The sequence below is a fragment of the Homo sapiens genome, chromosome 14, assembly GCF_000001405.40.
Source record: "Homo sapiens chromosome 14, GRCh38.p14 Primary Assembly".
Taxonomy (NCBI): domain Eukaryota; kingdom Metazoa; phylum Chordata; class Mammalia; order Primates; family Hominidae; genus Homo; species Homo sapiens.
The window spans coordinates 24,070,065-24,093,658 of record NC_000014.9 but is presented as its reverse complement, the minus strand read 5'-3'; the positions used below and the strand labels follow the sequence as shown (position 1 = coordinate 24,093,658).

General features: G+C 53.2%; 2 protein-coding genes across 13 annotated transcripts in view, besides 10 other annotated features; one reads left to right on the top strand and one right to left on the bottom strand.

The window, feature by feature from the left end:
• NRL (neural retina leucine zipper) overlaps positions 1-14,997 on the top strand; it is a 36,288-nt gene extending 21,291 nt beyond the window's left edge. For 2 of the 7 annotated variants that reach the window (NM_001354768.3, XM_011536801.3), the window contains exons 2-3: positions 10,784-11,191; positions 12,091-14,997. In NM_001354768.3, coding sequence (NP_001341697.1) covers positions 10,811-11,191; positions 12,091-12,423 — 714 coding nt within the window. In that variant the 5' untranslated portion in view covers positions 10,784-10,810 and the 3' untranslated portion in view covers positions 12,424-14,997. Of the gene's footprint in view, positions 1-150; positions 475-8,913; positions 9,140-10,783; positions 11,192-12,090 lie in introns of those variants that run through there. The other 5 variants (NM_001354769.1, NM_006177.5, XM_011536805.3 and 2 more) reach the window with 5 other exon arrangements.
• Positions 3,195-3,244: an enhancer, noted in NCBI's record as "active region_8186". NCBI's record gives its function as "activates an Ori minimal core promoter by ATAC-STARR-seq in GM12878 lymphoblastoid cells {active_cell/tissue: GM12878}" and the evidence as "EXISTENCE:reporter gene assay evidence [ECO:0000049][PMID:35858748]".
• Positions 4,160-4,659: an enhancer, noted in NCBI's record as "H3K27ac hESC enhancer chr14:24558209-24558708 (GRCh37/hg19 assembly coordinates)". NCBI's record gives its function as "activates a minimal SCP1, AML or CMV promoter by ChIP-STARR-seq in naive H9 embryonic stem cells {active_cell/tissue: H9 hESC(naive)}" and the evidence as "EXISTENCE:reporter gene assay evidence [ECO:0000049][PMID:30033119]".
• Positions 10,493-11,407: an enhancer, noted in NCBI's record as "H3K4me1 hESC enhancer chr14:24551461-24552375 (GRCh37/hg19 assembly coordinates)". NCBI's record gives its function as "activates a minimal SCP1, AML or CMV promoter by ChIP-STARR-seq in primed H9 embryonic stem cells {active_cell/tissue: H9 hESC(primed)}" and the evidence as "EXISTENCE:reporter gene assay evidence [ECO:0000049][PMID:30033119]".
• Positions 11,830-11,999: a silencer, noted in NCBI's record as "silent region_5621". NCBI's record gives its function as "represses an Ori minimal core promoter by ATAC-STARR-seq in GM12878 lymphoblastoid cells {active_cell/tissue: GM12878}" and the evidence as "EXISTENCE:reporter gene assay evidence [ECO:0000049][PMID:35858748]".
• Positions 12,210-12,529: a silencer, noted in NCBI's record as "silent region_5620". NCBI's record gives its function as "represses an Ori minimal core promoter by ATAC-STARR-seq in GM12878 lymphoblastoid cells {active_cell/tissue: GM12878}" and the evidence as "EXISTENCE:reporter gene assay evidence [ECO:0000049][PMID:35858748]".
• Positions 12,840-12,889: an enhancer, noted in NCBI's record as "active region_8185". NCBI's record gives its function as "activates an Ori minimal core promoter by ATAC-STARR-seq in GM12878 lymphoblastoid cells {active_cell/tissue: GM12878}" and the evidence as "EXISTENCE:reporter gene assay evidence [ECO:0000049][PMID:35858748]".
• CPNE6 (copine 6) lies at positions 15,572-22,710 on the bottom strand. Of its 6 annotated transcripts, none has more exons than NM_001385056.1 (18): positions 22,621-22,710; positions 22,018-22,223; positions 20,555-20,726; positions 19,981-20,160; positions 19,534-19,608; positions 19,294-19,368; positions 19,045-19,128; positions 18,864-18,953; positions 18,383-18,487; positions 18,068-18,154; positions 17,773-17,832; positions 17,377-17,510; positions 17,245-17,299; positions 17,102-17,153; positions 16,647-16,780; positions 16,269-16,505; positions 15,892-16,066; positions 15,572-15,771 (listed from the first exon to the last, which is right to left on the bottom strand). In NM_001385056.1, the coding sequence occupies exons 3-17, from the start codon at positions 20,720-20,722 to the stop codon at positions 15,929-15,931; spliced, it is 1,674 nt and encodes a 557-aa protein (NP_001371985.1). In that variant the 5' UTR covers positions 20,723-20,726; positions 22,018-22,223; positions 22,621-22,710; the 3' UTR covers positions 15,572-15,771; positions 15,892-15,928. The 6 variants fall into 6 exon arrangements, 5 of the variants coding, with proteins under 5 accessions (NP_001371985.1, NP_001371987.1, NP_001267487.1 ...); NM_001385058.1 differs by having other exon boundaries at positions 22,018-22,132; NM_001280558.2 differs by having other exon boundaries at positions 22,018-22,132; positions 22,631-22,710.
• Positions 16,052-16,965: an enhancer, noted in NCBI's record as "H3K27ac-H3K4me1 hESC enhancer chr14:24545903-24546816 (GRCh37/hg19 assembly coordinates)". NCBI's record gives its function as "activates a minimal SCP1, AML or CMV promoter by ChIP-STARR-seq in primed H9 embryonic stem cells {active_cell/tissue: H9 hESC(primed)}" and the evidence as "EXISTENCE:reporter gene assay evidence [ECO:0000049][PMID:30033119]".
• Positions 16,052-17,943: a biological region, named in NCBI's record as "CDK7 strongly-dependent group 2 enhancer GRCh37_chr14:24544925-24546124".
• Positions 16,744-17,943: an enhancer, noted in NCBI's record as "CDK7 strongly-dependent group 2 enhancer chr14:24544925-24546124 (GRCh37/hg19 assembly coordinates)". NCBI's record gives its function as "activates an origin of replication core promoter dependent on BRD2, BRD4, P300/CBP, MED14 and CDK7 cofactors, with strong dependence on CDK7, by STARR-seq in HCT116 cells {active_cell/tissue: HCT116}" and the evidence as "EXISTENCE:reporter gene assay evidence [ECO:0000049][PMID:35650434]".
• Positions 18,284-18,353: an enhancer, noted in NCBI's record as "active region_8184". NCBI's record gives its function as "activates an Ori minimal core promoter by ATAC-STARR-seq in GM12878 lymphoblastoid cells {active_cell/tissue: GM12878}" and the evidence as "EXISTENCE:reporter gene assay evidence [ECO:0000049][PMID:35858748]".
• Positions 22,711-23,594: the final 884 nt, after the last annotated feature.

Sequence of the window (23,594 nt, the reverse complement as noted above, 5' to 3'; positions counted from 1 at the left end):
CAGGCTGGAGTGCGTGCAGTGGCGCGATCTCGGCTCACTGCACACTCCGCCTCCCGGGTTCAAGCAATTCTCCTGTCTCAACCTGCAGAGTAGCTGGAATTACAGGCGCCTGCCACCACACTCGGCTGATTTTTTGTATTTTTTGTAAAGACGGGGTTTCTCCATGCTGGCCAAGCTGGTCTCCAACTCCTGACCTCGTGATCCGCCTGCCTTGGCCTCCCAAAGTGCTGGAATTTACAGGCGTGAGCCACCACGCCCGGCCTGGTCATTCTTTCTCTCCACAATCCAATGAGGAAACTCATCTGCCCACCCAACTACCATCATAAAGTCCTCAGGTGATTTCTCAAGCTATACCTCCATTGGGACATCTCTCTCCAACCTGAGACCACTGGATATCACCCACAATGCTATATAGCACCTCAAACTCAGCATATCTATGATGGGTGTCTGCTCAGCATCCACTCGCCTTTTCTGGTAATAGCACCCTGATTTTCTTTTGGGGAACCATCTCCTCAGTCTGTATTGTCATGTGGGTCTGATGTCACCCCTCTTGGGGGTAGGCTTGCAGCTTAGCCAACTTTTGTGTTCCTCACTCTGGCCACAGCAATCAAGGATGTTCAAGGATGGGCATGAGATCCCTCTCTGGGACTTTTTCTAAAACTTTGGAAGTTAGCTCTCTTTCTGCTGAGTTGCTGAGCTGGTAGAATATAAGCCTGGAGCTGCTGAGTGTTAGCTTGGCACTGCAAAGCAGGAACCTGGCTGAGACAGAAGCCAGCCTAGAGGAAGCAGAGCAGGGAGATGGCGAGCAATGGATTCCTGATTTCAGTTACAGGAATTGATGCATTTCTTCTCTTGCTCAAGCTAATTTTAATTGGAGTTCTGCCACTTGCAACAGAAACAGTCTTGATTCTCAGATTTCTTGGAGTTCTATGCTGGAACATAGTGGGATAAGGAGAGCTGGTCTCCAGCCACGGGCTTGCTACTGGTCCCCGTCTCTTCCCCCTCAGGCTCTAGCCTACACTCAACCTCAGGTATATGTATTTGGATCTCTTTCCCCCCAGTTCATAGATCCAAACTCTGTCCACACTTACCCAGCTGCAAACACATACCTCTTGGCCAACCTTTGGGCCTAAAGGTGTGCACACTGGTGGCAGCATGGTTGACCTGAAGGTCATCATCTTCTCCATAATCCTGCACCTGCTCTCATGGTTTCCTACCTCAGCAAATGGCACCATCATCTGGCCAGTTGCCCCAAAGGGAATCAGTCTAGACTATTCTTATCCTGCATAGCTAATCAGATGCCAGGACCTTTGGAATTGTACTTCTCAATTAGCCCTCAAGTCTGCAACTATCCCCATGGCCAGGGCCTTAGTTCAGGGCTTATCTCTCACCTGGCTTCAGGTGATAGCTTCTAAGGCACTTCTTGGACTCCTGCCTCTCCAAACACCAACCCCTCTCCCTACCAAGCCACTCCCCACACTGTGCATGCAAATCCACTTGGAAAGTTAAGAGAGAAGAATAATGTTTATGCTATGGACAGTAGGTGCCAGGCTCTGTGTCAGCAACTCTGCATGCATAATCTCATTCTGTTTCACAACTATATTTTACATATGTGGACACGGGCTTAAAGAGTCATTTGCTCGGTCACCCTAAGGGAAGAATCAAGGAAAAAGGGAGGCAGGACCCCAGAAGTATGCCAACATATAACACCCTAAATCAAAGGTCAAATGCCGCACTTGACCTCCAAGATGCCTGCTTGGGCCTCTTCCAAGTGTACTTTCCTTTCTTTCATTCCTGCTCTAAAGCTTTTTAATAAACTTCCATTCCTGTTCTGAAAAAAAATTATTCATGAATATTTTATACTTTTATCCTATTATGAATGAAATGTTCTAATTGTTTACCACAAGTACATACAAATAAAATTGCTTTGTGTATATTGAAAAAAAAAAGAGTCATTTGCTCAAAGTCACACAAATGGTTAGCAGGAGAAATGGAATCTGAATCCATATCTTTCTGACTCTAATTACCAAGTCCCCCTCTCCCTATAAATCCTATACTGTCCCCTTGATTTACCATTAAAAATTAGATCATATCACTCTTAAGCTTAAAATCTCTTCCAGGCTCTTTCCATCACATGATATCTTATGTCCTTCATAATCTGACTCCTATTTATCTAATGTTGTCACCCCCACATCCCCACTTGCCTCCTTTTCTCCTACGTACTGAACTCTGAAGTTTCCAGAGCACTTCTGTGAACTTTTTCTGGGCATCTGCACTCAAATTAAACACACACCATCCTGGCCAACATGGTGAAACCCCGTCTCTACTAAAAATACAAAAATTAGCTTGGTGTGGTGGCGCACGCCGGTAGTCCCAGCTACTCAGGAGGCTGAGGCAGGAGAATCGCTTGAACCCGGGAGGCGGAGGTTGCAGTGAGCCGAGATCGCACCACTGCACTCCAGCCTGGGCAACACAGTGAGACTCTGTCTCTAACACACACACACACACACACACACACACACACACACACACACACACAGGCCTTTTCTGTTCGTCCCTTAGAATGAACATCTATTTCATCTGTGTTGCTTCTATCCCATGTATATGCCTATATTTTTGTACTTTACTATACTGTAGTTACTTTTATATCTCTGTAATCCTCACTAGAGTGATGATTTCAGTCTTGTTTTTCTCCTAGTTCCCAGCAGTACCTGGCCTATAACAGGCACTTAATAAAAGTTGGTTGAATAAAAGAATGAATGAGTGCCACGTTTCTGAATTCTTCTTCCCCACCATTACTTTCTTCTCTAGCTTTAGGCAGATGGAGCAAGGGGCTCACGTGCAGATTTCCTTGCACTGCTCATTTCCCCTTATCTGCCACACACTTTTCTTTAGTTCCCTGCCGGGAGAGCCTGGCCCACCAGCTGGCCCTATGTCCAAGGAGTACCACCAGGGGGCAGAGTGTGATCTGCATTGTCCTCTCTGGGGCCTCTGGGTTCATCCCTGAAGTCTCACAGCCCGAGTAGTGATGCTGTGGTGTGTAGCCCAGATTCCCGCTTCAGGATCATGATGCTCATTGTTCCAGCTGCTGAGTGTTGGCTGCTGATAGCTCACAGCTGAGTACTTCCTTGAGCACTATCTGTGGCCAAAGGGAGCTGTCTCACCAAATGCAATGCCCGCTTCCTGGGGGCAGTATGTATCCAATGAATGGTTGTTATAAAGTACAGAGGCCTAGCCCTTTGTCTCAGTTTGGGACAACTCTGAAGGTCCATCCCAGCCCCAGAGCTCTTTAGGCTCAGCTGATTACAACTGCAGTGCCATTCAACTGTTCCCTCTCTTGGGTCCTGCTACTCTTTCTTTGAAAGTCCCCCCCCGTGCCCCCCCCCCCCCCCCGAGTAAACCACCTGCACACAAGTTTCTGTCTCAGAGTGTGCTTCCAGTTGCAAATATTCCTCAGGCTCAACTTGGTTACGGCATTAGTCCTCTAATCTGACTCTTATTTCATTGTTGCCTTCCTCCACAAACACAAAGTGCTGACATACGTGATCCTTCCGAACACAAATCTGATCACATCATGTCTCTACTGAAAACCCTTCAGTAGCTTCTCCCTGCTCTTAGAATAAAGCCCAAACCCTTAATGTGACCTCCCAGGCTCTGCATGATCTGGCCCCTGCTGACTTCTCCAGCCTCAGCTATCACTGTTCTTCCCACCTTCCAGGCTTTCTACTCTCTGGCTACGTGGATCTTTTCTCAGTTTTGTGAACATGTCTACATCTTTCCTGCCTCACAACCTTTGCATATGTTGTTTCTGCCGCCTGGAATTCCCACCCTGTCCACACCTCCAGGCAGGGTCACTTCTTATTCACCTGACCAGTCTTGGTTTAGCATGACTTTCTTAGGCAACCTGTCCCTGTGATGCATCCCCTCTGGCTTTGTATTAGAGTATGTCTTCGTGGAAGAAAATTTCATAGCACCCTGCCCTTCTTCTTCTTAGCACATTCATCTCTGTTTAAATGGTTTGTTTTTATGTAGACACATCTCTAACATATGTAGGACCTGCGGCAGGAGTACAAATAGAGGCCCTCAAACCTTGTGTTTAAATATTTAAAATGGGCTGGGTGTGGTGGCTCATGCCTTGTAATCCCAGCACTTTGGGAGGCAGAGGCTGGAGGATCACTTGAGCCCAGGAGTTTAAGACCAGCCTGAACAACATAGTGAGACTTCTTCTCTACAAAAAATAAAAAAGTAGCCAGGCATGGTGGTGTGCACCTGTAGTCCCAACTGCTTGGGAGACTAAAGTGGGAGATAGCTTGAGCCCAGGAGTTCAAGGCTGCAGTGAGCTATGATTGCACCACTGCACTCCAGCCTGGGTAACAGAGCGAGACCCTGTCTCAAAAAAAAAAGATTAAAATGTATAACTCAGGGTCGGCGCAGTGGCTCATGCCTATAACCCCAGCGCTTTGGGAGGCTGAGGCGGGTGGATCATTTGAGGTCAGGAGTTCAAGACCAGCCTGGCCAACATGAAACCCTGTCTCTACTAAAAATACAAAAATTAGGCCAGGCGCAGTGGCTCACGCCTGTAATCCCAGCACTTTGGGAGGCCGAGGCGGGCGGATCACGAGGTCAGGAGATCGAGACCATCTTGGCTAACCCAGTGAAACCCCATCTCTACTAAAAATACAAAAAAAAAATTAGCCAGGCATGGTGGCGGGTGCCTGTAGTTCCAGCCGGAGTCTGAGGCAGGAGAATGGCATGAACCTGGGAGGCGGAGCTTGCCGTCAGCCAAGATCGCGCCACTGCCCTCCAGCCTGGGGGACAGAGCAAGACTCTGTGAAAAAAAAAAAAAAAAAAAAAATTAGCCAGGCATGGTGGTGCATGTCTGCTACTTGATAGGCTGAGCCAGGAGAATCACTTGAACCCAGGAGACAGAGGTTGCAGTAAGCCGAGATCACACCACTGCACTCCAGCCAGGGCGACAGAGCTATCTCAAAAAAAAAAAAAAAAAAGTATAATTCAGGCTAACAAACTGTTACACAAAATATATTCTGTTCTTCTACCTTGACAAATATATTGACAAATACATACTTCACAATGGCCTGGAAGGCCAGGTTCAGATTTGTATTTTATTTGGAATCCTCAGGGTTCTGCACCAGAATGTGATGGTGTAGGGGGATGTAGTTTTGGCCACTGGCCCTCAGCTGGGCCCACTTTGCCTCCTACCCCTGACACCATCTTGGACTGCAAGGGGCCTTGTGTGGAACCATGTGGACCTCCCATCAGGCCATCCCAAGTCTGTCCACAGTCTCCTGCAAGCAGCTACCCCTTGTCTACCCTTTGACCTCAGAATGTGTGAACCAGTCATGTGGCCCAGCCGTGGGAGGGCAAACCCAGGGAAGAGGTTCACGTGGGCCCTAGGAGTGGGCTTGGGCCTTTTGGACAGGGAATGCTTAGCTATCTGGAGTGTGGTCCTGAGAGGATTAAGGTATGGGCAGAGGATAGTTGGACTCCTCACCCATGTGGTGGGACATAGCCAGAGGAGGCCAGAGTGGAGCCTTCTAAAGCACAGGGCCCAGGGCAGGGGCCACTCCTGCCTGGGCCTAAGGACAATAATTTATTTATTATTTTTTTTTTGAGACAGGGTTTCTTTCTGTCTCCAAAGCTAGAGTGCAGTGGCACCATCATGGCCCACTGCACCCTCATCCTCCCCAGGCTCCTGATCCTCCCACCTCAGTTTTTGTATTTTTAGTAGAGACAGGGTTTTGCCATGTTGCCCAGGCTGGTGTCGAACTTCTGGGCTCAAGCGATCCACCCATCTTGGCCTTCCAAAGTGCTAGGATTACAGGCATGAGCCTCTGCACCCAGCCAAAGGGCAATAATTTGATGTTTCTCTGTTTCATCAGTCTGTAAGTTTCTTGAAGTCAGGGCTGGTATTAGTGTAAGTTACTGAGGGGTCGCTAATGCCTTACTCAGGATGTGGTGCAGAATAGGTGTTTAATATGCATTTTTCAAAAGAATGTAGGAGGTACACCAAGAAGAGGTTGAGGATTTGGATCTATTACTGAAGATCTAGATACCATGAGCCAGAAGTAGGAATGAGAACCAGTCTTTCAGGGTTCCAAAAATGAGAGTGCAGGACAGAGGAGAGGAGGTAGCATCCTGGAATGCTGACTGTCTCATTTTCTCTCCTTCCTCTTCATTTTCTACCCCACTCCTGCAGGCCCTTTGCCTGCCTGCCCCTCTTTCCCCATGGTCCAATATCACTCCATCCATATCTTGCTACCTTTCTGTCCTTTGGCCACTGCTCTTCCTCTGTGGCCTATGTGTCTATTTCTTTGTATTGGTGTCTAGGTCTTGGTCCCCAATCTTATGTCCTGTCCCTTCCTTCTACCACTCTTACTGTTCTAGTCCTTGTTGTCCCCTACTCCCTTCTTGGTCCTCTCCTGGAAGACTTCCTTTCTTTATCCATCTCGTCCATGTGCCTACATCTTTCTGTCTCCTTTAATCCAAATCCCCATGGAGACCCTGACTTGTCCTGTCCTCTATCTCACATCTACACCTACTGCCTCCTTAGTCTCCTTCCTCTGTTCTATTATTCCTGGAGTCACACTGGCTTCATCTTTTTCATCCCTAGATGTCCTTGAGCCCATTAGTCTCAGTATTCATTTCTCAGTCTCCAGTGGATATGGGAGATGGGCTCTGCTTTCTGGGTCCCCACTGACTGCCACAGACTCTCCTCTCTGTGCCCTTGGTCCTTTCCTCTGGCCCAGACTGGGCCCAACCCTCACTCCCCCAGCTCCTTTCCCTGGTTTAGTGGTGCCTGGTCTGAGCCCCAAGCAGCTCAACTCGCCTGAGCTTGTTTAGTCTGACTCCCTTAGCCCGTTAGCAGCTTAGCCCTCCCACCTCTCCTTTGAGCCCTCCAGTAAACAAGAGGATCAGTGCAGACCTGACAGCTGCTGGTTGGGGGCAAGTGTCTGGCCAGGCCAGAGCAGGCATGAAAAAGGGGCTGCACTCAACACTTCCCATTCCTTCTTCAACCAGGGAAATTGTAGAGTCTCTTTCCTGGGTGTCCACTTTGGAGAGCTACATTCCATGGGCATGTGTGTGGGGTCCTGCCTCTCCATGATCCTCATTCCCATTTTGTGGTTGGTTCCTAGGCCTTAGGCTTTTTTATTCTTTTGAGAAAACAGCAGTAGATCCAGGCAGTCACACAGAGAAGCTTGAATGGTGACGATGGTTTCTGCTCCTTAAAACAGAAACCCAGGTGTGGGAAGAGAGTGATGTCATCTGATCTAGGTTTTCCAATATGTGTATGGAAAGCATGGTAGGAGAGACCACATACACATGCACAGACAGACATATATACATGCCTCCCCAGGGAAGCTGGGTAGACTGCAGGCATTCTGTGCAGTTCTCAAACTTTCTTTCTTTTCTCTTCTTTTTTTTTTGAGATGGAGTCTCTCTCTGTTGCCCAAGCTGGAGTGCAGGGGCACGATCTCGGCTCACTGCAACCTCCGCCTCCCAGGTTCAAGTGATTCTCCTGCCTCAGTAGGAGTAGCTGGCATTACAGGTGCCTGCCACTATGCCCAGCTAATTTTTGTATTTTTAGTAGAGATGGGGTTTCACCATGTTGGCCAGGCTGGTCTTGAACTCCTGACCTCAAGTGATCCGCCCACCTTGGCCTCCCAAAATGCTGGGATTACAGGCGTGCCTGGCCTTTAAACTTTCAAGCATGTCAGACTTGCTGGAAGGGCCTTAAAACACAGATTTCTGGGCCCCACCCCCGGAGTTTCTGACTCAGTAGATTTAAGGTGAGATCAGGTAACATGTATTTCTAGCAAGTTCCCAGGTGATATGGATGCTGCTGCTCTGGGGACCACACTTCAGAAACCACCTTCTTAGATAATCTGTATCTGCCAGCTTTTCCCCAACATATAAGGCTGGGACCAGGTTAAGTTTTATAAGTGATGACCTTTGGGGTCTGATGGACACCCAGGCCTCTGTGTTGAGAAAGAGGAACTATTAACCCCATGGGAGTATTTGGGTGGCCTCAGAAGGTAGGAAGTGGCCTTTAACTCCATAGACCCTATTTAAACAGCTTCGGACAGGTTTAAACATCTCCTTGGATAATTCCTAGTATCCCTGTTCCCACTCCTACTCAGGGATGATAGCTCTAAGAGGTGTTAGGGGATTAGGCTGAAAATGTAGGTCACCCCTCAGCCATCTGGGAACTAGAATGAGTGAGAGAGGAGAGAGGGGCAGAGACACACACAGGGAAAAGGTGAGAGAAAGCAGAGGGCATATGAGGCCAGTTACAAAAGTGTCTCCGACGGACTGGTGGTGATTAGATTTCAATGTCCCTTGAGGCCCAGAAGGAAGGAACAGAGTTCCCTGTTCTCTTTTTTCCTACTCTTTCTCCCAAGCTGGATTAGCAAGAATGGGAGAGACAAAATATGGTGGTCAAGTCCTGGAGATCCCCTGTGGGAAAAGTTGCTTTCCTTTCTGATGCGACGGCTATGAGGGGCATAAGACCAGTCAGCATGAAGATGGGGCAGAGGTAGAAATGTGAGGATTCTTGAAAATAGGAAACAGATCCAAAAGGCCCGGTGAGAGTGGGCGTGGGAGAGCTTATAGTCTCCAAAGACAGATGAGGGGCTGCAGGGCCTTGGAAGGTGGGGGTGCTGGGAGTTTGTCTGGTCCTCTTTTTCCAATCCCAGGCTATGCATGGCTAGGGCTGAGGGTTGTGTTCACATAGAGGGGTGGTGGTTCAGACCCATGTTTCTGTCCGAACTGGGAAACTGAGCACTTGGGAGTCGGATCATCAGTGAGGAGCTTTGTTGGGGAAGATGCTCCCTTTCCTTCTTTGAGAATAAGCACACTTGTACTCTCCTCTCTCTCCATTTCCCCCAACCCCAGGCCAATAAGATATGCAAATGATCTCCTTACCTTATTGGTTGGAGGCCTCAGGACCACAGATGACCTCAGAGAGCTGGCCCTTTAAGAATGCCCTTTGGGCTCTGTGCCCACAGCCCCCTGGAGCTGAGCAGAGGCACCAGGCCCTGCTCCATGGAGCCTTCAGTCTCCTGGGAAGCTGTGCCTGTCTGGCTCTGGCACTGACCACATCCTCTCGGCCATTTCTGAAGTGAGTATATCCAGGGCCTACCTGGGTGTCAGGCCGCTCACCTAGAACCCCCTCTTTAACACCTGCTCTCTGTTGTCTGTTTTCAAGAATCCTAACACCTTGGTACCCTACTCCACTCCCACCCTGACTGGCCTGTGTCCCTCACTGCTATCACGTCAGAAAGATAAACAACCTTCCCCACTACTCCTTCTGTACATCCAGTTCTTTCTGGATACCTCTCTCAGTGTCTCACCATCTCCTTTCTGCCAAGACCCAGTTCCTTTAATCTGTGTCTGTTTCCATCCCCTCTGTCCTCTCAAGGGTGACAGGTTCCATAGAGAGGGCAGCAACCCTGCCCTGGAACAGGAAGAGAGAGGCCTGGGTCTTCCTCTTTGCCTCTCTGGGTAGAGCCTGGGGGTCTGACATGTGGTTGGAAAGAAGGCTACCTAGGCTTGGGGCATCTAGAAGGAGCCGAAGTCTAAGCCCTGGGGATGAACACTCCATGCCGCGCACCTTCTGGGGGTGGGGTGGGAGTTACTGGAATTGGGAGCTGGACTAGAGCTTGGACTTCAAGGCTGGGAAGGGTATCTGAGGTCACCCAGCCAGAAGTTCCTCAGGTGAACATGTGCCCCATGATTGATAACAGACAGGAGAGTTCCTTGGTGACATAAGTTTAGGACACTTTTTGTTGAACTTGAACAGACGGTTTACTAAAGGATTGCTCAGGTTAATATGCTCTTGTGCTATGTGCATCTGTAAGAGGTAGGGATAGGAGGCAACATTTCTCAAAGTTATCTGAGCACAGACCTCTTCATAGGTATTGTTCAGAATCAGTGTTCTAGAGAACACTCTTTGGTATATGTTACAAAGTCTAACTGCCCTCATTGAACAGAAGGGAAAACGGGTCAGAAGGGTGAAGGTGATCTGCCAAGTTCACACAACGTAACAAGTTCTGAATAGAAGGAAAATCAATCTTGGTCTGTTCCCCTTGGAGAGACTGGCCTTGAGGAAAGATGGTGGCCAGTTGATTCTGATCTTTCTAGAACTAATTCTAGGACCTTTCTTTTTTCCATATAAAGCCTCTTGCCCCTACAAAAGGGATTCATTGATTGATTAATCCATAGAACAAATGTACACTGAGGGTCTTCTATAGGCAAGGCACTTCCCTGAGTGCTTTGAGAGACAGAGAGCTATAAGAACACATTATCCTTGGCTCTTAAAATTCACAGCATACATGCCTTCCCACTGTCCTAAAATATACACTCACTTTGTCACAGTTAATTAAGCAATTTAAAAAAATGGCTTGGAAATGGAATGATGCCTCTTGAGATGACAGACCTCTCGGCATGTCTCAGCACTAGGGTTGGGAGCACTGCCATACTGCTCTTGCTTTTCATAGATCCTGAGGCATCAGTGGGGCGAGAGGCTGTGCTGTCCTCTTCCTCCTTCAGGAATTCAGCTGCTTGTCCCCTGTCAGGAGCCCCTGCCCTCTGAAAGGTTACTCTTCAGCCTGGTGGGGACTCTGCAGTGAACAGAGCTGCACCATCCCTCTGGCTTTCCCAAACTCTTGCTCCAGGGCACTTGGGCTTTGAGGGAAGAGGGACTTGGTGAAGAGGGGATGGCAGGTGGCCTCCATGTGCTCCAGACCTCTCCTCCTCTTTGCAGGTGCACTCCTCCCAGCCCAGCTCCAGAATGGCCCTGCCCCCCAGCCCCCTGGCCATGGAATATGTCAATGACTTTGACTTGATGAAGTTTGAGGTAAAGCGGGAACCCTCTGAGGGCCGACCTGGCCCCCCTACAGCCTCACTGGGCTCCACACCTTACAGCTCAGTGCCTCCTTCACCCACCTTCAGTGAACCAGGCATGGTGGGGGCAACCGAGGGCACCCGGCCAGGCCTGGAGGAGCTGTACTGGCTGGCTACCCTGCAGCAGCAGCTGGGGGCTGGGGAGGCATTGGGGCTGAGTCCTGAAGAGGCCATGGAGCTGCTGCAGGGTCAGGGCCCAGTCCCTGTTGATGGGCCCCATGGCTACTACCCAGGGAGCCCAGAGGAGACAGGAGCCCAGCACGTCCAGGTGAGTGGTCAGCAAGCTGGCCTGAGGGGAGGCAGGGCAAGGAAGGAGGACTGCCCAAGAGAGGAAGGGGAGCTCCCAGAGGGGGTTATGGACTGGGACAGGGGACAGAGGGCAGGAGAAGGGGAGAAGGTCCCTTGAAAGCAATCAGATCGAGAAAACTACATTCTGCTTCTCCCCCTTTTCTTAAAATGGAGAGAAATGAGTAGGCTGAACCAGGAGGAGCAGGGAGAAGATAAGATTAGCAGAGAATCCAAAGGGAAGAATTGAGCTGGGGAGTGGGCGACTCCGGGGGGTAAACAGATACATGGTGTGTGGAAACCAGGGAAAGGGTTATGTGTGGAGTGGAGCTGGGTTAAGACTGGTTTAGATTGGCCTTTTCAAGACTTCGTGCTTCCCAGCCCCCAACCTTCTCAGGAAGGATTGGGACTCATCCTATTAATTACAGACACAGATGGGGGTGTTGCGGGCATTAGGATGTAATCCAAATCCTGTGAGGGTCACCGGGTTGCAGGCTTCAGGACAGGGAAACGCAGCGCGTTGGAGGGTTGGGGGCTGTCTGGGTGCGGGTCCACTGGACACACCCGGGCCTGGAGCTGGATGCCGGGGATCCCAGAGACGAGCCCGGGGTTTAGGTGCGCGACGGGCTCGCCTGACCGTGGCCGGCCCTGCACCGTGGGGCGCCCGCCTGACTGGAGCAACGGTCAGCTGGGGGGCCCGGGGAGCGTCGGGGCCTGGGGCGGGCTCTGGACCGAAACAGACTGCGTGGAAGGGCGAGCCTTCCGGTGAAGGTGGGAGCCGGGGCGGGGCTGTCCCGGGGCGGAGCCAGGTAGCGTCGGGCCCTCAGGGCAGAGCCGGGTGCGACCTGGCGCTGACCCGGTTTCTGCATTCTCCCTCCGCAGCTGGCAGAGCGGTTTTCCGACGCGGCGCTGGTCTCGATGTCTGTGCGGGAGCTAAACCGGCAGCTGCGGGGCTGCGGGCGCGACGAGGCGCTGCGGCTGAAGCAGAGGCGCCGCACGCTGAAGAACCGCGGCTACGCGCAGGCCTGTCGCTCCAAGCGGCTGCAGCAGCGGCGCGGGCTGGAGGCCGAGCGCGCCCGCCTGGCCGCCCAGCTGGACGCGCTGCGGGCCGAGGTGGCCCGCCTGGCCCGGGAGCGCGATCTCTACAAGGCTCGCTGTGACCGGCTAACCTCGAGCGGCCCCGGGTCCGGGGACCCCTCCCACCTCTTCCTCTGAGCCGTTCAGAGCACCTTGTGGTGTAGTGGGGGCTGGGTGGGGTGGCTCCGCCCAGGAGGCGGCTGCACGGTTCTCTGCATCGTTACCAGAGCGCCTTCTGGTCCTAGCCACGCCCTGTATGACCGCGCAAATATCCCCAAAGCTTTTGGGTCCTCAAGTCATGCCCGAATTTAGATGCTGGTCATTTTCTGGAGAGGGGTCCCCTCCCCTTACGAACACAGAAACCCAGCCCACATGACTAGCACGCTGAGCTCTGCAGGGACCAGTGCCAGGCACTGGGGGGTGGAAGTGTGGTGACACAGTGAATGGGAGGTGGAGGAGGGTTGCAGCTCCCACCTCAGTTTAGTTTTTAATTCAGGGTTTTCAACCTGTAACACATTAAAGCTGTAATTAGCAATGAGGCTGTATTTTCATTCTGAAGCTTGTAACCTCCCCATTTTAGCACTACAGAATTTTCAAGATTTCAATATCCAACAACTAGATAGATTAGGACCTCTATCCGAGATGCTTTTTCCCTGCCCAACCCTGTGGCCTTCAGGGCTCAGAGCAGCAAAGGCCTGAAGAGTGAGCTCTGGGGGTTGTTGGTGTGGGTTGGGAGAGAGCTGTGTGCAGAAGTCTGGAAACCTGGGTCCTAGTCCCAGCTCTTCCATGGGATCCCCCTGTCACCCTGAGCAAATCAGTTGCTTCCTGGACTTGTGTTACTTCATCTAATTCTCATGTGGATTGGACGACTTCTGCTCCCTTTCCAGTTCTGGCATCTCCCCAGTATGGAAGTCCCGGTGGTCTCCCCAAGAAGTCCCCAAGACAATCTCGCCAAAGGCACCTCCTATCCTGCTGCAGTTTCCCAGCTGCAGCCTAGGCAGGGGATGCACAGCCCAGGCGAGGAAGCCTGGCTTCTCTGTGAGCACATACGTGGGTCCTCGGCAGCTCCCTCCAGGCTGTCTGGGCCTCCAGACCTGCACAGGGTGCTCCTGCCACCTCCCACCTCTCTGAGGGCTGAGGTGAGACTTCTCCTGGGATGACAATTTGCTGAGAGAGTGCAGCTTTTGTGAATTAAACTTGAAGTCCAGGCAGAATTCTAATGCAATAAGCTAAATGTTCTTGCAATTTAAGAAGTGTTCATTCTTTATCCCTGCTTCAGGCTACTGTTTGTGTGTCTGTGTGTGGGAGAGGGAGAGAGAGGGAGAGAGAGAGAGAGCAAGAAAAAGGGAAGTCCCCACCTGGAGCTGGGTGGCACATCTGTTATGGAGAGCCAATGGAAATGGGGTGGAGGGGCAGGCATTGGAACAGATGGATCCTCCCCCTCTCACCACCACCACCACCAAACTCAGAAGCCTCAGTGGCCCAGCTCGGCCTGTCAGTGGCTATCCAGGTCTCACAGTTTCCATGGTAACCCAGTCCTCCAGTTCAGCAGGCTAAGGGGAGGGCAGATGGGGCCTCTGGGCAGAGCACAGGCGTTGTGCTGGGAGCAGCCGCCTCACGAGTTACTGTCATCTGTCCTCTACCGGACATAATAAATGGGAGAAGCTTTCGGGCATGGGGGAAGAGGCTCCCATATGTCCCTCTTCCTTTCTACCCCCTCTCTCCACCCCCTCCCCAGCTGTCTCTTCTCTTCCCATCACAGTTCTTGCTCCCTCTTTCCCCTCCTCTATCCCAGCTCATCCCTCCTCCGCTTAGGAGCCTGCAATGGGAGTCCTCTCCTCCATCGCTCTCAGAATTTCTCTCGTCTCCTCTCCCTTCCCCACCATTGGCCACTGGCCATCCTCTCTGGCTCTGGATTCTCTCTCTGAGGGGCTCACAGAACCTTTAGCTTCTCTTTCTTCATCCCCTTCCACACTCATTGTTGAAGGGAGAGGATGGGGCAGGGAGGGTCCTTCCGGGAGCCCAGCTCTTTTTCTCTCACTCTAAATTTCACCTGTGTCTATCCTTGCCTGCCCTGGAGCTGTAATTCAGACCCACTACTTTTCTTGTTCACTTTTCTCACCTGCATGGCACACAAAGACAGACAGAACCATCCATAGACACCTGAGCACACAACTAGGCCACATATACAGTACCATACCTGGGTCTCAAAATGATACTCCTGGGTTACCTGAGTATACTTAAAAAAACAAAGTTGCACACTGTGGTGATTAAGAGTAGTGCTTTAGGTGGGGCGCAGTGGTTCCTGCCTGTAATCCCAACACTTTGGGAGGCCAAGGAGGAAGTTTGAGACCAGCCTGGGCAACATAGCGAGAACCCTGTCACTACAAAAAAATAAAATAAAATAAATTCAGATGTAATGGCATGCACCTGGAGTCCCACCTACCCAGGAGGCTAAGGTGGAAGGATAACTTGAGCCCAGGAGTTCGGGGATGCAGTGAGCCATAATCGTGCCACTGCATTCCAGCCTGGGTGGCAGAGTGAGACCCTGTTTCAAGTTGCAGTTCTACCAGTTTTTTGACCATGGGTGGGTTAAAATCAAGCCTCACTTGATTGTCAGAAAAATGGTGAAAATAATGGTAACCACCTACTGAGAATAAATGCATTTAAATAAGCACTTAGCATAAAGTTGACACATGCTACGTAATGATATTTGCTGTTGTTGCTGATGTGATTGTTAAGTGTGTGAATCTGTGTGTTCATGCACTGCACATCCCTGAGTCCATGAGTGTGACCCATTAAGGCCATGAACAGACACACACATTGACACACCCGGGAAACCAGACTGTATAGGCCTTAGATGCTCCACTATGTTCCCAATTCACTAGCAGACCTGCTGCCCTCCTTCAGTATCCCCCAGCACCTGCTCTTGGCCCGCCCCACAGCTGTGTGGGGGCTGGGGTTCAGCTCCTGGGGGACTCAGCAGGGCCTCTCTGGAGACAGCTATAAGAAAGCTTCAGCCTGCCCTCCTGACAGCCCGTAATTATCCTCCTATCTCCTGTAATTATTCTCCATGGTGCCTAGACCCCCTGGGGTTGGGAGGTGAGGGAGGGGGCTCCTCAGATCCCACTGGCACATAGCTGGGGTAAGACTGCAGAGACAGCAGCCTGCCTGGGGAGCTCTGTCTCAGATTTTGAAAGGTGCTGGTCCTCATTTCTTATGGTGTGTGTGGGGGTGCTGCAGGCTGCCCAGTGGGCATCTGAGGCATGATGGTTAGAGGCTGAGGTGCTAGGAGCAGTTCTCTTTATTAATGGCTAGAAAGTCAGGATCACCCAAGGAAGTCACTGAGGGGCCACAGCATTGAAGGGTATGGGGTTTGGAGAGATAGGAGCAGGACCCACCACTCACGTCCAGAACCCAGGGGGCACACCTGGTCCAAGAGGTGGAGGCATTGGTCACTGGAGTCACGAGGGTCAGGACAGGCACCTGGGAGGGGGTGGGAGAGTCATAAGCACTCTCTTCTACACTACACCCAGCCTAGTTGGGCTCTACCAAGCCCCACTTTGCACCCCCTGTGTCCACTCCTTTGGAAGCCCCAGGACTCACTGAGAGGCTGAGGGAGTGTCGGTCCGGAGGGAGGCAGTCACGGGCTAGGGCTGGGAGTCGTAGCCAGTGTGCAGGGCCTGGGAGCCCCAGGGCTGATGCCCTGGCTGGCGTAGTACTCCACCACCTGCCGTGGCACCTCAGCCAGGACACACTTGGCGAGTGCAGAGGGGGCAGCCTAGGGTGGGGACAGTGATGTGGTTAGGGGTGAGAGGAAGAGTAGGGGAGGCAGGGTCATCTGAGGGAGAAGTGGGGCTTCAGGGTGGCCAGCTGGGCTCCCGCGTCCTTAGCAGGACATCAAATGGTGGAAGACGAAGGTCAGATTTGGGGGGATGAGAAGCTGAGGAGTCCTTCAGCCGGAAGGGGCCCGGGGGACTCACATCCTTGAAGTCTCGGAAGGGCACGAACTGGACAATGTCTCGGGCTGCAGGCACCCCTCGGGGGCAGCGCAAGGGGCCGTCGTCGCCATCCAGCAGCCGCATGTCAGAGAAGTCAGCATTGCCCACGCCTACGATGATGATGGACATGGGCAGGCGGGAGGCACGCACGATAGCAGTGCGAGTCTCAGCCATGTCGCTCACCACACCGTCAGTGAGCACCAGCAGCACCGAGTACTTCTGAGGGCAAGCAGAGAGGGTGGAAGGGTTGGCTTTGTGTGCAAGGGCGTTGACACCGTTTCCACCAAGGTGCAGACCCTGGCCCTGGCACCACTTAAAGACACATGGGACAGCTCCTGTTTGCCCGCCATGTCTTCCTACCGTGGCTTGGCCGGTGCTCTGCTCCCGCTGGGCCGGCTCAGCCACACGGTTGATGATGGGGGCCACATTGGTGGGGCCGTAGAGCTGGATCTGGGGCAGGCAACGACGGTAGGAGGCGATGACCCCTGAGATCTCTGTGAGTGAAGAGAAGTTGTGAAGCTGGCAGAAATGAGCAGGGCCCCCTCCTGACACTCCTTAAAGCAAGGAAATGCTTCCAGGTCTGAGGACTGCCCTCCCCTCGAGTTCCTTCATTAAGCAGTGGGAGAGTTGGATGGTCCCTTGGCAGGGAGAGTTGGGTGCAGATGCTGGGCCTCGGCCCTGGAAGCCTCACCTGATAAAGACAGGCCTGGGATGGGTGGAAGGGACAGGAAGCTGGGCCCTGGGGAGTGGAGTCTGTGCTCCTGTGTGGAGTGTGTCTGCGGGGAGGCGGGGCAGGTGAAAATCTCCCCTTTTACCTTCACATTCAGGATTTTCCGGGTCAAAGTTGATAGCAAAGTCATGGGACACCTGTGAGGGCAAGGCGGGAGCAGTGAGGGCCTGCCTTTTCTGCCTGACTGACACGCCCCCCATCTCCTTCTTTCCCTCGCATCTAGCCTACCTCGAAGTTGGGGGGGATTCGAGCCCCAAAGCCAAAAGCTGGGAACCGCTTATCACTGGGGAGAAGAAAAAGCTGTGGAATCCGTTGGGCAAGGCCTCCCTGCCTGTTCCCTCCCGCCCCACTCTCTCCTACCTGTCATAGTCCTGGCAGATGCCTCCCACTGCACGCAGGGCCTGCAGGTAGTGGTTGGGCTGTCGGGGACTGAGGCAGTGCAGGGACTGGCTGCTCCTCGGGTCCCCATTGGAGGCGGTGAAGTCAATGGCCACCTGGGTGGGGGTGGGAAGAAGGTCATGCTGCAACCATGAGAGCCACCAGATTGCCTAGGCCAGAGCTGGGATCTGTAGGGAGGACTAAGATGAGTGGTGGGGAGGCTACAGGTAGCCACATAATGATGTGGGGGTGCATAAGCTGACAATGCGAAGGCTCATGAGCAGCCCAAGTTGGGGCAGTGGAGATTCTGGGCTCCTTCCTTTCACTATGGACTCAGCCCCTCCCTCTTGCCTGTGTGCCCTCCCTCTGAGTCTTTACCGTGAAGCTGATCTGGCAGCCACCCATGATGTAATCCAGGAAGGTGTGCACCTTCTCCACCTGGAGGTAGGGAGAGGGGTAAGGCGAGGGGATGGGGTGGTCCTTTGAGGAGGGAGCTTGGGTAGGGCTTCTGTGGGGAACATGGGGGAGCCAGAGTTTTTTGGGTTGCAGTTGGGGGTGGTTTCCAGTTCCCAGAAGCAGAGAAACTGGTCTTTGAAACAAGGGAAGGGTTGAACCTGAGAGTGTGGTAGGGGCAGGGGCTGGGGCAAGGCTTGAAGCAGGAAGTGAAATTTACCGTGCACTGGGCCAGCACTACCGTCCCTGAGCTCTTGTAATTCTTCTTCTTGTCCCGATACTTGGGGTTGATACAGTCCCACTGCATCTAGACCCCACCCCACAAGCTCAGGGTCACAAGTCCATCAGGTGACCCCTCTTTCTCCCTTCCAGCAGAGCCTCCCAGAGCAAGACCCCCATGGTTCCGTCCTTCAGCTGAGCCCAGGTGCTTTCCACCCTCTCCACTTCCTATCACCTATGGTGGTCTCTTCAGCATCACCCTCAGGATTCTCCCAGGGATCTGGGTGGGATTCTGGGGGTGGGGTATTTGTGGCACCTCCTGCCCAGGGTTTGCCGTCCCTTCCTGCATCTCCTGGAAAGTGCTGGTGAACTCGCCGATGAAGTCATGCTTCCCACTGGAGTCATAGTCATACACCAGGAACTGAGAAGGCAGGGGGAGGGGTGGGGTCAGGTTGGAGATGCTCTGCGGTATTCACGGTGAGTAGGGGGACTCGGGGACTTGGAGTAGGGGGACTTGGGCCTTAGAGTCTCCATGCCCAAACAGACATCCTCAGCCTGCCCGGAGAGGCCACCTGCTGAACTTTGTTCTTTGGCTCAGTCTGCTAGGGACTTTGGCCACTGATAAAATGCACACATGTGGGAAGTTTAACATTGAGCTGTGACCTATTATTTATCCCACAGTGGGATGTGATTATCACTTGGGGGAGAGGAGGGAGGCTTGCCACATGCAGGGGAAAGGTCTTAGATAGCAGATTGGTTGCTCTAAGTAGGCTGTGCTGGCTTGGCTGGGACTTCACCTTGAGAGGTCGGTGAACATCACAGCTGCATAGGGAATGCAGGGACAGGCGGAACGGCTCCCAGCTGGGGTTCAGGTTGTTCTTCACCACCTTGGAGAGGCACCAGGTGGCTGGTCAGCTCCTGTCTGTGTCTTCTTACTTTACTCTCCCTCCCTTCATCCCCATAGCCCCAGGCACCAACCTCAGTTCTCCAGACCAGCTGATCACTTTGGTCCTCGTTGGTCTTATAGATTTCCATGAAAGGGTCAGACTTGCTGAACAGATCCTGAAGATACAGGAGAAAGGGCCCTTGAGGTTGGTGAGAGCTGCAAGGAGGGTGGGGGATGGGCTCCCACTGGGAAGAGAGCAGGCCTGGGCTCCTGGGATCTGTCTTGAGTGGGAGGCCTAGGAGTGACAGGGGAGTTGGGGGCCTGGACTCTGGGGTTCCAACCTTGTTGTCCAGCTTGTAGGCTCTGAAGGTGAGTTGCACATAGTCGTTTGTGCCTGATACCTCCTCGGCCACGATCTGCAAGGGGGATACAAGTGGCAGGACTCCCCTAACCTTACCACAAGGGCCACCCCATCCCCTTTCCCTTAGGTGGGGGTGGTCCTGGGCATGATGTCACCATAGGTGTCCATGCAGGGGCATTGAATACCTGGACCAAGGGTGAGTACAGGTGATCTTGCCTACCGTGATGGTGGACTTGCCCGCAGTCTTCCCATTCTTCAGCAATAATGGCTTAGTGACCTTGGTTTGTGACACAATCTGGGGATGGAGGTGGAGGGAGACCCAGCTGTGACATCCCCATCTGCCTTGGCCACGTACAAGGGATGGAATAATAAATGCTCTGAGTGTCTGCAAGGGTTGGCACTTTGAGTTGGGCTAGGGTTGGGCTCAATTTTTACAATAGTCTGAAGAGGGAAGCACTCTGACCACTCCTCCATTTTTTAGATAGGAAAACTAAGACTCAGAGAGGTTAAGTATCTTTCCTGAGGCTGCACAGCTAGTGAATGGCAGAGATGGGAGCCAAGGCTGGGTTGAACTAGCTCTAGAGCTCATGTTTTCTCTCTTTTTGGCTTCCAGAGGCAAAGCTGATGGAGGTAGGGTAGGGTAGCCGGGGAGGCCGGGAATGCAGACCTGGCCCAAGGTGCACTCCGTAGAGCCGAGGAAGGTATCATTTCGGGGGCTGGTGGCTCCGTCCTCGGCATCGAACACGTGGAACTGCAGGGGCTGCTTCTCCTCAAAAAAATACTCAAGGGCCAGCACCCGGGAGAAGACAGGGCTGGAACAGGAGCGAAGCACCTCTGTGCGCTCTACCTGTGGTAGTGGTTGAAGGGAGGCGAGGGCTGTCTGGGAACCGAGGATACTTTTCCCTGTCCTGGACTGCCCTAGTCATGCCAGCTCTTCTTGGGCCCCCACGTCCCCAGCAACCAGCTCTTCTCTTCCTAAGCTGATCCCTGAGCTTGGGGTGCTGCCTGCCCACTGGACTCTCAGTCCTCCGGGCTATCATGAGGCCTTTGGGAGCAACCCCACTGCCTCTGGGTCAATCTCAGGACCCTCTGGGACACCATCTCCAGGGTACCCAAGCGGCCTCGAGAAGGCGCCGCAGAGTCCACACATTTCCCTGCAAGGCTTTCACTGCTCCCACCCAGCCTCCCTCTTTCCCAAGCTTAACCCAGGTTAGTTAAGGAGAAACCTGAGCTGCTCTCACCTCCACCCACTGCTCATCAGAGTAGAGCTTGAGCAGCACGCAGGGGTGGGGTTTGGTGAGTGTGTCCCGGTCCAGGAGGCCATGGCAGGACACCCGCAGCTCCACCCGAGAGGCCCCCAGCGTCATGGTTGGGGGCTCAGGCACCCATCCCATCTCAGGGTCCGACATGTCACTGTGGGGACAGAGCAGGTGGCCTGGACTCTGGAAAGGGAACACCTGCCAGCAGAGGGGTCTATCCTCTAGGGTCCCTGGGCCCCACCCCTTAACCTCCTTCCCTAGACCCTGGGGCCTCACGGACCTCCTGCTTCCTCAGCTTCACCAGAGTTCTGAGCAGGGGAGGGCAGAGGACCTGAGCCTCCCACTCCTGCTCAGAAGCCCTGTGCTGCTGGCCTAGGTATGCGTGGATGGGGCTGGAGAGGGCTGAAGGATTGGGGTGGGGATGTTCCTGGCAGTCTTGGCTCCTAGGCCATCGATTGATCTACACTTTCTGCCGCCTCAGCACCTTCTGCTATTTCCCGACTGGTGTTGTGCCAGCGCTGCACTCAGTCTTGGCACGAGGGAGCTAAACTAGGGCAAGGGGGTGGGGCAGGGGGTGGAGAGGCCTCTGGAGTTCTGAAGAGGATGGGTCTCAGAAGTGGAGTCTGCAGTGGGCAGGAGACAGGTTGGAAAGTCCCCTGCTGGGCTATCCCTATCCACTCCCTACCCCCATTCCCCTTCTGGCTAGCTGATGGAAAAGGAGTGGTGGTGGGCTGGGAGGCAGGACCAGGGCTCTGCTGAAAGCTCCTTCAGGCTCCTGGCAGGAGCTCTAACTGTGACAAGCCTCACATCCCTCCCCACCTCCCCTGTTTTCACACTTCTTGGCAGCACTGGCACCGTCTCTTAGCGACAGGATTTTTGGGGAGTCGTGGCTCCCTCCATGCTGCCCGTGGGATGCACGCATGCCACCTTCCCCCAGCAGTGGTACCAAGCCTCGGGCTGAAGCAGGCAGGGGTATGCCGGCCAGAGTTCATGGCCGGTCAGTCCATCTATCTGTGTCTGTACAGATCTCAGGGTGAGGCTGTCTGATCCCATGTCATGCTTCCCCGAGTGAGTGTGCATTGGTGTGTCTGAGTGCCCCACCCTCCGTGTCTGTCCCCCCATGTCGTGTGTCCGTTTCCAGGAGGGTGTGACAGTTCCTGTACCTCCCTCAGAAGTGGGACCTTTCTCTGGCTGGGTATCTACCTCCCCACAGTGTGTGCCTTTCTGGATATGTGAGGGAGGGTCTGGGCTGGGGGAGGGGGGTCTCTGCCTTCCAGCCACAAGTCTCCCAGTTCTTGGGGGTCCCCGAGATAGGCAGGGGCTTGTGGTGGTGAAGGGATTGGGCAGGGCTGGGATCTCTCTGCGGGCTCCAGGAGATGTTGTTATGGAGACTGGGCCAAGCTGGGCTGGGCTGGGGCTGGGCTGGGGAGGAAGGGTGGGCTCACCTGGGCTCTCGGTCGGGGGCTCCTCTCTCCGGCTCTCTGGCCCTGGCCCTGACTCCCTTGCTGCTCCAGCCGCTGGCGCCGGCTCCAGCTCCGGCTCTGCTGCTATTTATGGGGCCTGGATGGGGAGGGGTGGGGGGGGGCGCAGCACCAGCTCCCCCCGCGTGGATGGATTGGGAGGGAGAAGAGGGAAGGGGCAGGGCCACAGCCTGGGAGGGAGCCACAGAACCGGGGGAGGAGGGCAGGCTGGGGGTGGCTTAGAGGCAGGACCCCCACAGACACAGTGACACACATCTTCCCCTTCACACTACACCCACACCCAGAATCGCAGAGATGCGCACATTGCAGTGGCATGCACATACACATTCAAACAGAGAAATGATGGCGACACATGCACCCACGACTCACAGGCTCACACATATCTTGACACACACAGGCGCCAGTACATAAACTCACTGTGACACCACGACAGTTACAGCCCCCGGCGGATACACATTGGGAAACATACCCCTTCTCACATCACTTTCAACATTGTTACACTAGCTAAGGATATCTGCAGTCACATATACAGGAACACTGGGCTGTCCTTGTCACACATGTACTCACTCAAACTAACCCGGAATACAGCAGGATGTGATCTTCCCGTGCTCCTTAAAAGCCATCACATACCTTGCTGAACGTCATAGCTTTGAGAATGATGTCCAGTTCCCTAGCCACCATTTTATAAGGAGACACAGGAAATGGACATAATTGCTTAAGGACACCCAACCTCATATCCTGGTCACATGAGGGCATCTGCTGAAGGACTGACTCCCAAGGCTTCTTCCCGGTGCCACAATGTACCCAACACCCCCCAAGATTCAACCCATATGGCCTTACCCTTGTGGGAGGGGCTGTGCCATGCACAGATCTTAAGGAAACAAAACAAGTAATTCCTGGTGAAATCAGTAAGTAAGGGAAGTAAGCAGTTGCCTGGGGAGCTGCAAACCACACATGAAGACATTTGGGCACATTGTGGTCTGCGATGAGTACGCAAGAGCATTTACCTTCGCCCTCCATCCCCTTAAGCTGCTCATGTATTAATATAGCAGCCATTTATTGAGCATCTCCTGGGTGTCAGGCACTGTGCCAGGTGCTGGGGCTACACAGGTGATTAAGACACAGCCTCTGCCCCTGGGGGAGGCAGATGTATATGGAACAGAAAGACAGGCAGACAGAGAGAGGATAAGCCAATACGCATACGCAATGAAGCGTGACAGGTGCAATGTTATGGACCTGCTCAGGATGCAGTGGGAGCACATTAAAGCAGGGTGCAATATGGATGAGTGGGGAAGGCATCAGGAAGGACTTCACAGAGGAAGGGGCTTTTGAGTGGGATCTTGAATGCCAAGATAGTATTTGCTAGAACACCATGGGAGACAGCTACTTTAGTTGCTGACCTCATGCCACAGAGACTTCTGTTCACCTGCAAGCCACTCTGCTATTGAGACTTCTGACTAGTGAGGGTGCCCCCAGGACGACACAACATCATGTAATTCCCCCATTAGTGTGCATGCATGCACACACACACACACACACAC